The sequence below is a fragment of the Homo sapiens genome, chromosome 14 (genome assembly GCF_000001405.40).
Source record: "Homo sapiens chromosome 14, GRCh38.p14 Primary Assembly".
In the NCBI taxonomy this organism is placed as follows: Eukaryota; Metazoa; Chordata; class Mammalia; order Primates; family Hominidae; genus Homo; species Homo sapiens.
This window is the reverse complement of record NC_000014.9, coordinates 102,655,551-102,674,344: the sequence shown is the minus strand read 5'-3', so window position 1 is coordinate 102,674,344 and position 18,794 is coordinate 102,655,551. Positions and strand designations below refer to the sequence as shown.

The following is an 18,794-nucleotide window of genomic DNA, read 5'->3' as shown; positions in this document are numbered from 1 at the left end:
GTGTCAACTTGGCTAGACTCTAGTAGCCAGTTATTTAATCAAACATTAATCTAGGTGTTACTGTGAAAAGTATTTAGTAGATATGGTTAACATCTATAATCTCTTGATTACCCTCCATAATGTGGGTGGGCCTTATCCAGTTCACCTAAAGGTCATAAGAGCAGAAATTGAGATTTTTCCAGAAGTTGAGACTAAGGCCCTAACTCCTTCTTATAGGCCTGCACAGATTTCAGACTCGTCAGGCCCCTACAACTACATAAACCAATTCCTTAAAATAAATCTCTGAATATATGTACACATAGATACACCCATACATATTCTAGTAGTTCTGTTTATCTGAAGAACCCTATCTACATAATAACATAGATAGTTACTACAGAATCGTCTATAGGACAAAAATAGAGGAAAATCTTTAAAATACATCAACGGGGGCTGGGCGCGGTGGCTCACCCCTGTAATCCCAGCACTTGGCGAGGCGGCGGCGGGCGGATCACCTGAAGTCGGGAGTTCGAGACCAGCCTGAGCAACATGGAGAAACCCTGTCTCTACTAAAAACACAACATTAGCCAGGCATGGTGGCACATGCCTGTAATCCCAGCTACTTGGGAGGCTGAGGCAGGAGAATCACTTGAACCCGGGAGGCGGAGGTTGCGGTGAGCCGAGATCGTGCCATTGCACTCTAGCCTGGGCAAAAAGAGTGAAACTCTGTCTCACGTGAGCCATGGCTCACGCCTGTAATCCCAGCACTTTGGGAGGCCAAGGCGGGCGGATCACAAGGTCAGGAGATCGAGACCATCCTGGCTAACACAGTGAAACCCCGTCTCTACTAAAAATACAAAAATTAGCCGGGCATGGTAGTGGGCGACTGTAGTCCCAGCTACTCAGGAGGCTGAGGCAGGAGAATGACGTGAACCCAGGAGACGGAGCTTGCAGTGAGCCGAGATCCTGCCAGTGCACTCCAGCCTGGGCCACAGAGGGAGACTCTGTCTTAAAAAAAAAAAAAAAAAAAATCAGGGATTGGATAAACCGTGGTATGTGACTTCAAGGGAATTAAATATAGAAAACAAAATCAGATCTACAGCTATCAACCAGTTTGAATAGAAAAAGCAAGTTAAAGGAAATGTATAATATCATAACTTAAATGTTGAAAACATAAAATTGGTACTATTAGTTATGGGGTACATTTAAAGAATAAGATGTATACAATAAAGATATTCTTAAAATCAGGTTAACAGGCATTTAAAGAGAGGAAGATCTTGCTTTGTAACACTGTAATATTTCACTGTTCTTTGCAAATCCCAGTGTTAAGCAGACAAATACTATTTTGTGTACATTGTGAGAAACCCTTCACTGTATGATTTGATGTTACCTGATACAATGTCTGTGTTCAAATTTAAAATCATCTAGTCCAACACTAAGGAAAATACTCTTCTAGTATATTTTCAGTTCTACTCTGAAACTCTGAGTTATTTCTCACTCTATAATGCTATATTTTACTTGTCAACTGTTTGGGAGCAGAACAGCAATTTACATTTACATTCCCACCAGCAGGGTATGAGAGTTCCAATTTCTACACATCCTCACCAACACTTGTTATTATCTGACTTTTTGATTCTAGCCAGCAGGTGTGAAGTAGTCTCTCACTGTGGTTTTGATTTGCATTTCCCTGAATAAAGAGGTTGAGCATATTGGATAAGTTTATTGGCCATCTGAGTATCTTCCCTGGAGAAATGTCTATTCAGCTCTTTTGCCTGTTTTTAGTCAGATTATTTGGCTAAAATGTTGGGAATATAAAATGGTGCCATTCCTCAAAAGATTATCATATAACCCAGAGGCCGGGCGTGGTGGCTCACACCTGTAATCCCAGCACTTTGGGAAGCCGAGGCGGGCGGATCATGAGGTCAGGAGATGGAGACCATCCTGGCTAACATGGTGAAACCCCGTCTCTACTAAAAATACAAAAAAAAATTAGCTGGGTGTGGTGGCGGGCGCCTGTAGTCCCAGCTACTCGGGAGGCTAAGGCAGGAAAATGGCGTAACAGGAGGTGGAGCTTGCAGTGAGCCGAGATCGCACCACTGCACTCCAGACTGGGCAACAGAGCGAGACTCCATCTCAAAAAAGAAAAAAAATTATCATATAACCCAGAAAATCCACTCCTAGGTATACAGCCCAAAGAAATAAAAACATATATCCACATAATAATTTGTATATAAATTTTCATAGCAGCATTACTCAACAGCTAAAAGGTAGAAACAACCCAAATGCCCATCAACCGATTGAATAAAAAAATGCAGTATGTCTATATGACAGAACTTTATACTGCCATGAAAATAAAACACTAACACATGCTCAGTATGAAACTTGAAACACTATGCTAAGTGAAAGCAGCCAGTCACATGCACAAAAATCCACAGCCTATTGTATGATTTTATTTACATGAACCGTCCAGACAGAAAGATGATTAGTGATTGCCAGAGGCTGTAGGGCATTTGAAATAACAGGGTGCCACTGCTAACAGGTACAGCATTTCTTCATGGGATGATAAAATGTTTTAAATTTGATTTGTGGTGATAGTTACACAACTCTGAATATACCGAAAACCACTGAATTTTGCATATTTTAAATAAGTGAACTGCGTGTTTTGTTAATTTTATTGTAGTAAAGCTGTTATTTAAAAAGCAAGGCTACTCAGGAGGCTGAGGTGGGAGGATCAGCTGAGGCCAGAAGTTCAAGGCCAGCCTGGGCAACACAGTGAGACCCTATCTCTGAAAGTTTTTAAAAGTTAGCCAGATATGGTGGTAAGCACCTGTAGTCCCAGCTACTTCAGAGGGTGAGGCTAAAGGATTGCTTGAGCCCAAGAGTTCAAGGCTGTAGTGAGCTATGATCACCCTGCTGCACTCCAGCCTGGGCGACAGAGGGAGAGACCCTGTCTCTTTAAAACAAACAAACAAACAAAACACAGAAACTAACTGGAAGGAGAAGACAGGTTACTCCACAGCCATTAGAACACCTGCTTGGGTTCCCACATTCTCATAACCCCCTCCCCTATACCCTAAAAAATCACATTAAGTCTGTGGAGTCGAGGGGAAGAGGGAGTTGTGTTTCTACCATTCAGGGTCCAACCATATCCTCAATGACCTGAGTCAGAACAGAAAGATGAACACAAGAAAGAGAATGGCCAAATGGATAAACACAGAAGGGGAAGCGAAAACAATGAGAACTGAAACAAATGGTGAATATGCTTTTCTTGCTATCAATAATTATAAGATAGGGCTGGGTGCGGTGGCTCACACCTGCAATCCCAGCACTTTGGGAGGCCAAGATGGGTGGATCACCTGAGGTCAGGAGTTCAAGACCAGCCTGGCCAACATGGTGAAACCCCATCTCTACTAAAAATACAAAAATTAGCCAGGCATGGTGGCAGGTGCCTGTAATCCCAGCTACTTGGGAGGCTGAGGCACTAGAATTGCTTGAACCCGGGAGGCAGAGGTTGCAGTGAACTGAGACAACACCGCTGCACTCCAGCCTGGGCGACAAGAGCAAGACTCCATCTCAAAATCAATCAATAAATAAGTAAAATAAATAAATATATATATATATATAATAATCTTGTCATTTTAAGACACGCTCACAATTACAGGTTTTAACAACATGCCTTGTTTTCTACAATCCTAAACTCTACTTGAAATGTTTTAATTTTACCAGAAGCTTAAGGAAGAGGTATGAAAACAGGAGTAGCACAATAAGCTATGAATTAAATGCTACCTTCTTGCTTAAATTCAGAACAAGAAAACTGAAGCTGAAAAGTATAAACAGAGAACTGTATATATATTGTGTATATTTATTGTGTATATATAGGGTCATTACATTCACATTCATAGTACCGTTACCTTCATGTTATCAAACCATCTTTAAGTTAGCACTCATAAATAGGACAGCTGTTTGGTTTGCTTTAAAATTTAAATTCTATCCCATTATAGATGTCATTGTCATACTCTAATACCTATATAAAAAGGACACATGAAACTCCAAATTACTCATCAGTAGGACTCAAAAAGATAATAAATAAAGCTTTTTAAAAAGGTAAATTCTGGCCGGGTGAAGTGGCTCATGCCTGTAACCCCAGCACTTTGGGAGAGGCCAAGGCAGGCAGATCACTTGCTGTCAAGAGTTTGAGACCAGCCTGTCCAACATGGTGAAACCCCGTCTCTACTAAAAATATAAAAATTAGTCGGGCATGGTGGCACACACCTGTAATCCCAGCTACTCAGGAGGCTGAGGCCGGAGAATTGCTTGAACCCAGGAGGCAGAGGTTGCAGTGAGCTGAGGTCACACCACTGCACTCCAGCCTGGGGTACAAAGCAAGGCTCTGTCTCTAAATTCTTATAATTCTTATTCTTAAATGTATGGACTGGCCACCCATACTTTCAATATATCCTGAGATGCTACGCATGAGTAAATTTAACTTAATTATGTTAGGGACCAAAAAACGTTTTATGACTCCAAAATTTTTGGCTTCTGACGTTGGGTAATCAAAAAGATAGAAATCAAAGGGAATGGCAAGAGTATATATGATTACTATTGCTGTAACAGTTATAAATGCTTACTATGTGCTAGGCACTGTGTACTTTGACGTGCCTTAGTTCATTTCAATCTTACGACTATCCATTTTATAGATGAGAAAATTAAAGCACAGAGAGATGAAGTAAGCTGCCCAACATCACACCTATGAGCAGTGAAGCTGAGTCGAAGCTTAAGGAAGAGGTATGAAAACAGCAGAAGACAGAGTCGGTGGTGTTAACCATTATGCTACAATGCCTAGATTTTAAAGACACCATACATTATGATCAAAAACCAAAGAATGTAAAGAACATTTTTCCTCCCCATGATATCCACATTAAGTATTTTAGCATTTAAGTTAAATGGCTTAAGAATTCTCAACTGACAACAGTTCACTCTCTATAAAATGAGGAAGTCAGAAGCAACTTTGGTATTTCAATACCTGTATCTTTTCTTTTCTCTTTTTTTTTTTTTTCAGACCGAGTTTCACTCTTGTTGCCTAGGCTGGAGTGCAGTGGCGCGATCTCAGCTCACTGCAACCTCCGCCTCCTGGGTTCAAGCGATTCTCCTGCCTCAGCATCCCAAGTAGATAGGATTACAGGAATGTGCCACCACGCCTGGCTAATTTTGTATTTTTAGTAGAGACAGGGTTTCTCCATGTTGGTCAGGCTGGTCTCAAACTCCCGACTTCAGGTGATCTGCCCGCTTCAGCCTCTCAAAGTGCTGGGATTACATTAAATATCTGTATCTTTCTACAAACTATATACCTCCTGTCTGGTTCTCTCTTATCTCTTCCTTTTTAAATGCTGAAAGTTTAAATTGGAACAAATAGGTCCATGATTTCCAATCACCAGCTCTCTGGAATTAAAATCTACAATAAACATAGGCACGCTATAAAGTCCTTAAAAACTCAAATCTCATGTTCTCCTAAATTTACGGGAAAAAATTTTTCGCCTCAAAGATTAGCGATTTCACGAAGAATTTAAAAGCTAAACAGATTTTTTCTTTGAGGATTTTATCCTCCATGATAATAAATGCTCTATTCACTTGTTTTTAAAAAACAGAAACATTTAAAAAAAAATCTTAACTTACATCACAGGTGGTTAACGAGGGGTATGTATACTCCCACTAGCACCGCCCCGCCCCCCTGCAAAAAAGGAGAGGGACTGTAAAAAATAAAAAGGCAGGCAAGAACAAAGCTGGACAGGGAGAGAAGACAGACAGAAAGGGCTTCAGCAGATAGCCGAGGTAGAAACTATCATGCCACAACTGACATACACATAACCAATTACCATTGCTTACTTTGTATTGTATTACCCAGTAAATACCCAACTAGATTGTTAATTGCTTGGTAACAAAGAATCCATTCTTCATTCTTGTACTGCCACTGCTTACCTGACCTGAAGTAGTACTGTTCGGTCAATTGCTTTCCATAGGTCTTCAGCTGTCTTGATTCTTAATTTTAGCAAGATTTATTCTCATTAGCATCACCACAACAGTACCTGCATTACCGCAGCAGTAACTATCCTCAGAAGAAATGTTCTAAACGTGTATAGTGTGTTCTGTCCTTTGGTATAGTGTTTTACACCTCCAGGGTGAACAGAAGAGAGGATGTGATGTAGAGGAATTAAACAGCCACATGAATAAGAGATTTTAACAAAAGTTGACCTTTCCCCACGTTTTCTCTACCACTTTTTTAAACATCAGTGTTCCCTGGGTTCCTCTTTTTCATCTGGTATTAATTACTCTTCCTATGCCATAACATCTAACACTGCAAATTTCTCAAACCACATTTATTATGGTAATGACTTCTAAATCTTTATCTCAAGACAGAATACGCATATAAGCCAAGAACAACTCAAAAAGCATCTTGACACAGCTTATTGCCCTCTCATTCACCCTTCCCACTATCAACAACAAGCTGTTTCTTCTTGTTTACCTAAAAAAATTAACACTATCACTTGTATAGTCACCAACTCCCAGCAATATGGCTGGCAAGTCATCTTGGAGTCCCCTCATCTGCTACTAGCACTCGAGCACACACACTCTGCAAAACCCACTGAGCCCCATCCACTAATCTCTTCGACTTTTCTCAAATCCATCGCTCTCCAACCCTGCTGCCACTGACCTTCAGTTTCCAACTTCATGGTTTCTCATCTTGTCCTGTCTTAAAGGTTGCAGGCTAAATTCGGTCTCCCCAGATTCAGTTTCTCCACTAGCTAGAGCAATCTTTCTGAAGCACAATTCATTATTTTTTATTATTATCATTATTATTATTATTATTGAGACAGAGTCTCACTCTGTTGCCAAGGCTGGAGCACAGTGGTACCATGTCAGCTCACTGCAACCTCCATCTCCTGGGTTCAAGCAATTCTCCTCCTTCAGCCTCCCGAGCAGCTGGGATTACAGGCACCCACCACCACGCCCGGCTAGTTTTCATATTTTTAGTAGAGATGGGGTTTCACCATGTTGGCCAGGCTGGTCTCGAACTCCTGACCTCACTTGATCCACCTGCCTTGGCCTCCCAAAGTGCTGGGATTACAGGTGTGAGCCACTACGCCCAGCCCATTCTTTATTTTTTTAAGAAACAAGGTCTTGCCCTGTTTGTCCAGGATGGAGTGCAGTGATATGACCATAGCTCACCGCAGCCTCAAACTCCTGGGCTCAACTGATCCTCCTGCCTCCCCTCCCAAAGTGCTGGAATTATGGGCATGAGCCACCGTGCCTGGCCCTGGAACATAATTCTGATCAAATCACTTTCCACGTTAAAAGTCCTTCCTGAGATATGGATCATAACTCCCTTCCCCTTCAGTGTGGGCTGTGCATAGTGACCTCTTTCCAAAAAAGGGGGTTGTATGGAAAGGGGCGGAGCAGGAGATGGAAGAGTACTTTACAGCTGAAACTTCTGACAAACTCAGACGTTTCCACTGTAAAGTACTCCGCCAGGCAACACTGGTCAACATGAGCAGTCATCAGTCATGTTGATGGTATGTACCCTTGGATGGGATGAAATGGCACTCTACGTCTGTGGTCTTCCTACCCCAAACTCATAACCTTAGTACAATAATGAGAAAAATGCCAGACAAATCCCAATTGAGAAACATCCTGCAAAATTTCTGATTAGTACTTCTTAAAACTAAAACATCATCAAAAACAAGAAAAATCTTGAGAAACTGTCACAGCCAAGAGGAACCTAAAGCAACAAGGCAACTAAATGTAATGTGGTATCTTCGATGGGATTCTGGAACAGAAAAGGGGTATTAGGTAAAAACTAAGAACATAAGAATAAATTATGAACTTCAGGTAATAATTACAAATCAATCAATCACTAATTGTAACAAATGTACCATACTAATGTAAGATGTTAATAACGGGGAAACTGGGTGTAGGGTATATGGAAACTCTTTGTACTATCTTTACAACTTTCCTGTAAATCTAAAATTATTCCAAAATAAAAAGTCCTTCTGCTGCTTCCCCCGCTGTCTTTAGGGAAAAAACCCATGGCATGCAAGACCCTTCATAATCTGGCCTGCTTATCTTTCTAACCTATGTCTCACCCTCAGGACTCTATCCCTCACACAGTCATTACATTTCTGGGCCTTTTTGCTTTGCCATGACTTTCCTCTAACCCACTTCCTTCTCTTTATCTTTTCCCACCAGCTAACTCCTAATAATGCTTCAAGACCCCTCAAGGATCACCATCTTTGTAAGTCTGCTTACTCTCCTAGTCCAGGTTAGCAGTCCATTCCTCTTCAATACTCTCATAACACTGGGGACACCTTCTCTATCACAGTTTAGGCTCTTGTCATTAATGATTTGCATAAAGACATGTGGAGAAAACAATGGCTTTGTAAGACTCAACTACCAGCAGTAACTACTATTAATGGCTTTTGAGCCAGTATGATCTAATATAATTATTAACTATTACTACGTGCCAGTAACTGGGCTAACCACTTCACCTATCTGTCACATAACACACACCAAAAAAGCCCTATGAGATAAGAACTGTTGTAGTCCACATTTGAAAAGAGGAGTTAAGTGACTTGCACTTAGATCCTAACACTGGTCAGCATCTGAACTCCCATCTGGGACTCAATCCCATGGTGGACTTGTATCCCATTTTAACCACTTTGTTATTGAGTGATGACGAACAAGCTACTTAGCTTCACTAACCCTAAAGAAAAATGGAGAGGATAATGCCTACCTTGCATGGGTTTCTATGAGAATTAGAAAGGCCACCTTAATATTAAGTACCTGGTACATACAGATGCTCCTCAGCTTACAACAGTGTTAGTCCTGATAAATGTATCACAAATTGAAAATATTGTAATCCAAAAATGCACTTAATACACCTAACCTAATGGGCATCATAGCCTAGCCTACCTTAAACATGCTCAGAACACTTACATTAGCCTGTAGTTGGGCAAGGCCATCTAACAAAGCCTATTTTATTTAAAAAAAAAAAAAAAAAAAGTGTTGAGGCCAGGTGTGGTGGCTCATACCTATAATCCCAGTACTTTGGGAGGCTGAGGTGGGTGGATCACCAGAGGTCAGGAGTTTGAGACCAGCCTGACCAACATGGAGAAACTCTATCTCTACTAAAAACACAGAATTAGTCAGGCATGGTGGTGCATGCCTGTAATCCCAGCTACTCGGGAGGCTGAGGCAGAAGAATCGCTTGAACCCGGGAGGCAGAGGTTGCAGTGAGATTGCGCCACTGCATTCCAGCCCGGGCAACAAGAGCAAAACTCTGTCTCCAAAAAACAACAAAAAAAAAGGGTTGAATATCTCATGTAAGGGTATTACACCACATATTGCTAGCCGAGGAAAAGATCAAAATTCAAAATACAGTTTCTACTGAGTGTGTATCACTTTTGTACCATCTTAAAGTTGAAAAATACTAAGTCGAATGCTTAAGAACTGCCTGTACTTAATACTTCATAAATAATAGCAATTATGATTTTCTTTCTCCTCTATTATTTGCCATCTTTCAGACCATAGTATCTTCAGTGTCTAGCATATTATAAGTACTTCATAAATGTTAAGTAAATTAATATGCATAACATAGGTTAGGTAGCCAATTAATGAAAAATTTTAGAAAGGGAGTATATTGTTCTATTCCCTTTCCTTAAACACAGCAATCCAGACCGACAAGTTTGAGAACCAAGAAGGCTGGGCAGCAACTCATGTAGACCTGATCTCTGGAATGCCACCCACTCCCTCTCTTCTTGTATCTCTCTTTATAATAGCACTCTACCCTTTAAGGGCATAAACTCTATTCCCATGGGAAGGTTATTTCAAAAATACTATGATTTGCAATATTACAAGCTGACAAAAATAAATGAATAATTTCCCTTAGAACTGGCTCAAAGCCAGGCATGGTGGCTCATACCTGTAATCCCAGCACTTTGGGAGGCTCAGGCGGGTAGACGATTTGAGGTCAAGATTTCAAGAACAGCCTGGACAACATGGTGAAAACCTGGCTCTACTAAAAATGCAAAAAAAACCAAACCCAGCTGGGCGTGGTGGCTCACACCTGCAATTCCAGCTACTAGAGAGGCTGAGGGATGAGAATCACTTGAACCCAGGAGGCGGAGGTTGACATGAGCCAAGACTGCACCACTGCACTCCAGCGGGTGACGGAGTGAGACTGTCTCAAAAAATAAAAATAAAAAATAGAACTGACTCAATCACTTTCCAGTAATCTGAGTTCAGCTAATGCCTAATCTATGTCCCTTTTCTGATTCCCCCAAGAAGGAAGTTAGATGCTAATCAAATGCTACTGAAGTCAACTCTGCACTAGAAACTGGAATTGTATAGTCAGTTTCTAACTAATAACATCTTACCTTCTCTCATTCTCTTGGACTCACAGGTGCCTTGGACTGGGAATCGATTTTCTCTAAGAGAAACCAGAAACACTTTTCTTCCATGTTATCAATATAACAAGCTTATCATTTACCACCAATGTAATTTCGCCACATACGATCGTCAAACCTAAACAAAGACAAAACACTTCAGAGACCAATTAATTTCACAGTGAAATGTTTTAGGCTCAGGTTTCTCCTATTTCTCTTAACACTGCCCTATCAGTAATGTAACACACTAATCAGAATGGGCAAGGCTGTATTGATATTTCACCACCAAGCAATCCAAGAGAAAAAAAAGCCCTGAAGCTACAGTCTGACTGATGGTGAGGCACCACAATCTTATGAAATACAGAGAGCCCAGATTATCCTATAACACAATTACTCCCAATATCACCATAACCCAGAGAAAACTTCTAACTACTGTACCACCAGCTAAGGACATACCTTTACACCAATGTTGTAAGAGTTCCTTACAAAAGGTTGAATTAGGAAAAAAGACAATATGAAATTCTTTGCAAAAGTTTGGCAAAACAGGATGTTAGAAGGGAACATAGAAAACCTGTCCACTAGAAATGTTGAGAGAAGTTGCATTAGTCTGTTTTCACAATGCTGATAAAGACATACCAGAGACTGGGCAATTTACAAAACAAAGAGGTTTAACTGGATTTAACAGTTCCATGCAGCTGGGGAAGCCTCACAGTCATGGCGGACGGCAAGGAGGAGCAACTCAGTCTTACGTGGATGGCAGCAGGCAGAGAGGAGCACTTGTGCAGGGAAAATCCCCTTTTTAAAACTATTAGATATCTCATGAGACTCATTTGCTAGCAAGAGAAAAGCACAGGAAAGATCTGGCCTCATGATTCAATTATCTACCACCAGGTCCCTCCTACAATATGTGGGAGTTATAGGAGCTACAAGATGAGATTTGCGTGGGGACACAGAGCCAAACCATACCATAAGTGTACTGTAAATAAGTTCAGGCTTTCTGAAGGGTAGTTTGGCAATGTTTACCCGAGCCTCTAGCAATTTATCCCAAAAGAAAATATTCATAAAGCTTTGCAAAAACTTATCTACAAAGTTATTCATCAAGTGCTGCTGAAAACAGCAATAAATTGGAAAGAACTCAAATGTCCAACATAATCTTATAATCTGGTACAATCATATCATGGAAACTGTACACATTAAAAGCTGCAGAGCCCTTTTCACAAGATGGCACCGAAAGCAAAGAAGGAAGCTCCTGCCCCTCCTCAAGCCGAAGCCAAAGCAAAGGCTGTGAAGGCCAAGAAAGCAGTGTTGAAAGGCGTCCACAGCCGGAAAAAAAAAAGATCCACACATCACCCACCTTCCAGCGGCCCAAAACACTGCGACTCCAGGGGCAGCCCAAATATCCTCAGAAGAGCGCCCCCAGGAGAAACAAGCTTGACCACCATATTATCATCAAGTTGCCGCTGACCACTGAGTCTGCCATGAAGAAGAGCGAGGACAACAAGACACTTGTGTTCATTGTAGATGTTAAAGCCAACAGGCACCAGATCAAACAGGCTGTGAAGAAGCTCTATGACATTGATGTGGCCCGGTCAACACCCTGATTCGGCCTGATGGAGAGAAGGAGGCATACGTTCAACTAGCTCCTGATTATGATGCTTTGGATGTTGCCAACAAAATTGGGGTCATCTAAACTGAGTCCAGCTGGCTAATTCTAAATATATGTATATCTTTTCACCAGAAAAAATAAAAAATAAAAAGTTGCAGAAGTATGTACATTTAATGACTTGGGAAAACCATACATGAAGTACAACATGCAAATGACAACAAACTGCTGCCTACTACAAAATCACCCAGTCTATAACAACTCATAGGCAGGGCACAGTGCTCACGCCTATAATCCCAGCACTTTGAGAGGCCAAGGCTGGAGGATTGCTTGAGGTCAGGAATTTGAGACCAGCCTGGGCAACAAAGTGAGACCCTGTCACTACAAAAAATAAAAAAAAAAATTAGCAAGGCATTGTGGCTCACACCTGTAGTTCCAGCTACTTGGGTTGCTGAGGTGGGTGAACTCCTTGAGTCCAAGAGTTCAAGGCTGCAGTGAGCCATGATCGTGCCATTGCAATAGAGCCTGGGCAACAGAGCAAGACTCTGCCTCAAAAACAAACAAAAACTCATGTCCAATTCAAATTATGTTTCCATAAGCTAACTACATATGCTAACATCTTGCTATAGCCGGTTGTCTCATCCCACTTCACCTGCAGAAATGCCCGTCCTGCGCTGAAGGAACTCCCTCTGCTCACCTCTAATGAGAGACCTAATACTGTAGGAAATACTTTCCCCCATTGCTTTTCCTGAAGCACTTAATACATAATTATACTGTTGACTAAATTTTTCTTAATGAGAAACTATTTCTTCCCTCTGAGTCTTACAAGGTTTTGAAACATTGAGAATAGACATACTGTAGTTTCATGAAAGAGGATGGAAGTACTACCTATCTTTTGGTGAAACTAAAAACAGAGCACTATCAGTCAGGTTTTTTAAAGCCCACATAATTATAAGTGACTTTTCTTTCTTTCTTTTTTGAGACAAGTTCTCACCCTGTTGCCCAGGCTGGAGTGCAGCGGCACAATCTCGACTCACTGCAACCTGCGCCTCCTGGGTTGAGGCAATCCTCCCACCTTGGACTCCCAAGTAGCTAGGACTACAGGTACCCACCATCACGCCCAGCTAATTTTTTGTATTTTTAGTACAGACAGGGTTTCACCATGCTGCCCAGGCTGGTCTCGAATTCCTGGGCTCAAGCAATCCACCTGCCTCAGCTTCCCACAGTGCTGGGATTACAAGCATGAGCCATGGCACCTGGCCTATAACTGACTTTTCTGTTACTGATCCAGATTTGTGAGGATTTTATTAGACTTCTACCCCCACATTCTCTCTTTACAGTGCTTTATCCCTTTGAAAAAGAGCTGAGCAATATCACTAATATACAATTTTGCCCTTTTTAAAAACTAATCTGAACCAATTTATGAGATAGTAATCTACACAAGTCACCCCATACTAAGGAAATATCTATCCTTATAATATTATGTTTTTAGATGAAAGGATGAAAATTACCATGCAATCTCTTTATCAGCATACCAGTATAGTAATAATCACACTTTAACAACAGCCAAAAACCAGATGCTGTCAATTTCTCATTACTAGTCCCAGAAAAGACACATCTATTTTCTTCTTGATTTAGAATAGATTAAAAAGTTAATTTTGGCTGGGCACAGTGGTTCACATCTCTAATCAAACTGTGGGAGGCCAAGTAGGGAGAACCACTTGAAGCCAGGAGTTAGAGATCAGCCTAGGAAACACAGCAAGACTCCGTCTCTACAGGGCATGGTGTTGCACTCCTGTACTTCCAGCTACTTGGGAGGCTAAGGTGGGAGGATTGCTGGAGCCCAGGAGTCCAAGGCTGCAGTAAGCCATGATCATACATCAAGCTGCACTCCAGCCTGGGTGACAGAATGAGACCCCATCTCAAAAAAGGGGGGAAAGAAGTTAATTACAGAAGATATGAAAAAAAAAAAAGTTTTACCCAAAAGCAAATCTATGCAAAATATCTTCAAATTTTCATGTTGTTTAAAAAAACCCATTCAAACCACAAGTATCACTCATAATGTATATCACATTCTTAAAGTTGTTTTACTATAATCAGCATATCCACAAGATAACCCATTAGGATGAATTAAACAGATGGGCTCAGAACTCAGACCATCAGTTTGAAATTCTAGGTGTGTACCTACAAAATTTAAATACACTGGAAAAATTATTTCAAACAGGGCTTTCTCATTTGGAACCAATGGTTAAAGATAATCTCTACCTCATAGTGACAGAATTAAATGAGATAATACATGCATAAGCTGCTTGGCTAAATGCCTCAGCACACCATGAGCATGCGACTCACCAGATTATTTATCTTATTACGAAAGTCAGTGTCTGGAGTAAAAAGAACAGAAAAACCACCTAAAAATAACTCAACATTAACTACTTCACGCTTCTTGACTATGGCTGTCTTCTCCCACATTCCCAAACACTGATCTAGGCCCTAAGTGGCTTATTCAGGTTGCAATAACGTCCTTACCAAACTTTCTGCCTCCTTTCTCTGCCTCCAAATTCAGATTTATTATATAAATGGCAGCAGCAGATACCTCTCCGTTACTGTCCATGTGACACTACTTCACATTACCCTTGCAAGAAGTCACCCCAAATTCAAGCAACTCTAGAAACTATTAAAGCTACAAAGAACTTCATAAATAGAGTTTACTTAAAGGTGGGGAAACCATACACATGAAGTGTCTTGGCAGAGGTGATAGTGTCAAGGACCCCATGCCTATTCCAGCCCAGAGCTCTCTCGACCACACTTTATTACATTATTACATTCCCAGAGCTTTCTTGTTTGACACATGTGTGCCAGAATTGGTTCCTTGTCCTGGTATTCTGCCACTTTGCAGGAATCTCCAGTAAAATAAGATGAATTTTTATTGTTGTTAATATTGTTACCCACCACCAGAATAGCCAAAATAAAAACGGAAGACTTTATGAGCCTTAATGATTCTGGTACCTCACTATTTATAAATGCTGATCAGATGAGACATTTGTTTTGATAGTGAAGGCCAATGCAACCCTGCATCAACAAAACTCCACTTGTTCATATGCAAATATAAAATTGCAGTAATTTATCTAAGTATTTATGGAGATTTTATCTAAAGAGCTTCTTTTTAAAAAGTCAAATAAAAAGTCCAGTAAGTCGGTAGAATAACGGGCAAAGACCTTTCCTAGAAAAAGCAGCTTCCTCGTGGGAGAATTTCAAATAATTTATGTAAATATTCCCCACTCCCCTCTAGGAGATGGAGCTTAAATCTCCCCGACTTGAGTGTAGGTTGGACTTACTAACTTGTTTCCAAAAAAATAAGTATGGAAGGTGGTGAGTGTATACAGTAGGGAAACAACCTTGGCCACGATTAACATTACCAGCAATAAATCATGGAGTAGCATGCACTACACCTCCCACCACTCCAATCATATGAATTCCCCAAATTCATAACCCTAGTCTAGTCATGTGAAAAACAGCAAACTGGGGAGACATCATAATTAAATGCAATGCATACAGTAACCTGGATTGGATTCTAGAACAGAAATGGACATTAATGGGAAAACTATTGGAATCTAAATAAAATGTGGAACTTAGTAATGTATCAGTGTTGGTTTCTGGGTATTGACAAGCACACCTTGGTGATGTAAGAGGAACCCAAGTGAGGGGTCTGATAATCCATAGCATACAGGAAAAGGATGGGGGGTAGGTAGGTAGCCATCCTGTTCCTGAGAAAAGAGTCACATTCTAAAAACTTTCCATAATTCAAGTCATAAAAGTAAGAAAACCATTTTTATTATTATTTTTTTCAGAGTCTCACTCTCACCCAGCCTGGAGTGCAATGGTGTGATCTTGGCTCACTGCAACTTCTTACCTCCCTAGTTCAAGCACTTCTCATGCCTCAGGTGATCTGCCTCCCAAAGTGCTGGGATTACAGGCATGAGCCACCGTGCCTGGTCTCACACATATGGATTAAAGCCACCGCACCTGGCCAGAAAAACCTTTTTTAAAAAGAAGGCCCAGCACAGTGGCTCACACCTGTAACCCCAACACTTTGGGAAGCCGAGGTGGGTAGATCATCTGAGGTTCAGAGGTCAAGACCAGCCTCACCAATATGGTGAAACCCCGTCTCCACTAAAAATACAAAAATTAGCTGGGTGTGGCGGTGGGCATCTGTAATCCCAATTACTTGGGAGGCTGAGGCAGGAGAATCACCTGAACCTGGGAGGCAGAGGTTACAGTGAGCCGAGATCATGCCACTGCACTCCAGCCTGGGCAACAGAGCAAGACTCTGTCTCAAAATAAATAAATAAAAATTAATTAAATTAAATTAAAAAGAACACCCCTCATAAAGAAAACTCTTTCACTTGTTTCAGAGAGGCAATATAATGGGAAACTGGCCTGTTCCAAGTTTGCCCTTAATTCAATCTTCTTTTTTTTTTTTTTTTTTTTTGAGACGGAGTCTCACTCTGTCGCCCAGGCTGGAGTGCAATGGAGTGATCTAGGCTCACTGCAACCTCCGCCTCTGGGGTTCAAGTGATTCTCTCACCTCTGTCTCCCCAGTAGCTGGGATTACAGGCACGCACCACCAAGTCCGGCTAATTTTTGTATTTTTACTACAGACAGGGTTTCACCATGTTAGCCAGGCTGGTCTCGAACTCCTGACCTCAAGTGATCTGCCCGCCTTGGCCTCCCAAAGTGCTGAGATTACAGGTGTGATCCACTGCACCCAGTCAGTCAATCATCAGATCTTGAGAGTAAACATGTAAAATGATATTTAAAATTCCACTAGATTAATAAACCAAAATCTCTAATATCAAAAAGGATGAGTAAGACTTCTGTGTTATATTAGTCTTAACTTAAGCAACAAAAACATCATCAGAAAAGTTAAGAAATTAGCTCCAAGAAGAAGTAAATCGGTCTTAAATTAGGATTAAAACATGGGTTTAAATGAACCAGTATGCCATTACTCCTTGAACATGAGGACATATCGCCTAAAAGGACTCACCAAAAGCATACATACAGGTGGGAAATCCTAAATCTATGCACTGACACTAAGCACACATCCATATCCAGCACCGTGAGGCACAACACTTTGCAAAGATATCCTCAAAAATATTTTTCACGAGTTTCTACCCTATGTGTTTTGGGTTTACATAGTCAACCTAAATTATATAAGGAAAAAAAAAAAAGATTAGGCTTTAGAAGATGTTTCTAGCCAGGTGCAGTGATTCACGCTTATAATCCCAGCACTTTGGGAGGCTGATGCGGGTGGATCACATGAGGTCAGGAGTTCGCGACCATCCTGGCCAACATGGTGAAACCCCTCTCTACTAAAAATACAAAAATGAGCCATGCATGGTGGTGTATGCCTGAAATCCCACCTGCTTGGGAGGCTGAGGCAAGAGAATCACCTGAACCTGGAAGGCGGAGGTTGCAGTGAGCTGAGATTGCGCGACTGCACTACACCCTGGGCGACAGAGTGAGACCTGATCTCAAAAAAAAAAAGAAAAGAAAAGAAACCTTTTCTGAGCAGGTGCTGTGGGAGTAATCCCAGCACTTTGGGAGGCTGAGGTGGGTAGATCGCTTGAGTCAGAAGTTCAAGACCAGCCTGGCCAACATGGTAAAACCCCATCTCTACTAAAAATACAAAAAATCAGCCAGGTATATGGTGGCAAGCCTGCAGTCCCAGTTACCTAGGAGGCTGGAACAGGAGAATTGCTTGAACCCAGGAGGCAGAGGTTGCAGTGATGGCACCACTGCACTCCAGCCTGGGTGACAGAGTGAGACTCCATCTCAAAACAAACAAATAAACAAAAAAACAGAAACATTTTCTTAAAAATGTCTCAGCTTGGCGGGACACCGTGGCTCACACCTATAATCCCAATACTCAGGGAGGCTGAGCAGGCGGATCGCTTGAGGTCAGGAGTTTGAGACCAGCCTGGCCTACATGGTGAAACCCTACCTCTACTGAAATACAAAAATTAGCTGAGTGTGGTGGCACATGCCTATAATCCTAGCTACTCAGGAGGCTGAGGCAGGAGAATCGCTTGAACCCGGGAGGTGGAGGTTGCAGTGAGCCTAGATCACACCACTGCACTCCAGTCTGGGCGACACAGCGAGACTCTGTCTCCAAAAAAAAAATAAAAAAAATAAAAAAATCTCAGCAAAGTGATTTCAAAGAATGAAAAGAATCTGTTTCCACTCAAATAAATGGGTACATCAAGAAACATTACAACTTACACAAGCTTAATCTTAATTTTGGAATCCACTGCATTAGTTGGTTCATAGGTTTATTTCACGTGTGTGTGTGTGTGTGTGTGTGTGTGTGTGTGTGTGACAAAAAGTCTCACTCTGTTGCCCAGGCTGGAGTGCAGTGGCGCGATCTCGACTGACCGCAACCTCCACCTCCCAGGTTCAAGGAATTCTCTTGCCTCAGCCTCCTGAGTAGCTGGGATTACAGACGCCTGTGACCACACCCGGCTAATTTTTGTATTTTTAGTAGAGACGGGGTTTCACCATGTTGGCCAGGCTGGTCTTTAACTCCTGACCTCAGGCAATTCGCTCGCCTCAGCCTCCCAAAGTGCTAGGATTACAGGTATGAGCCACTATGCTCAGCCTTCTCCTTCATTTTTTTGTTTCATACATACAACCAGTGGGAGATAGGGGACAGACAAGCTAGAAGGAAATATTTATTGATCACCTATTATGTGCCAGACACTTTCACAAATATGAGCTTG

General features: G+C 41.5%; 1 protein-coding gene and 1 pseudogene across 2 annotated transcripts in view, besides 1 other annotated feature; one reads left to right on the top strand and one right to left on the bottom strand.

The window, feature by feature from the left end:
* RCOR1 (REST corepressor 1) overlaps positions 1-18,794 on the bottom strand; it is a 137,913-nt gene that overhangs the window by 56,217 nt on the left and 62,902 nt on the right. The gene's annotated exons all lie outside the window — the stretch shown is intronic.
* Positions 10,872-11,609: an enhancer, noted in NCBI's record as "OCT4-NANOG-H3K27ac-H3K4me1 hESC enhancer chr14:103129073-103129810 (GRCh37/hg19 assembly coordinates)". NCBI's record gives its function as "activates a minimal SCP1, AML or CMV promoter by ChIP-STARR-seq in naive H9 embryonic stem cells {active_cell/tissue: H9 hESC(naive)}" and the evidence as "EXISTENCE:reporter gene assay evidence [ECO:0000049][PMID:30033119]".
* RPL23AP11 (ribosomal protein L23a pseudogene 11) lies at positions 11,617-12,152 on the top strand (annotated as a pseudogene).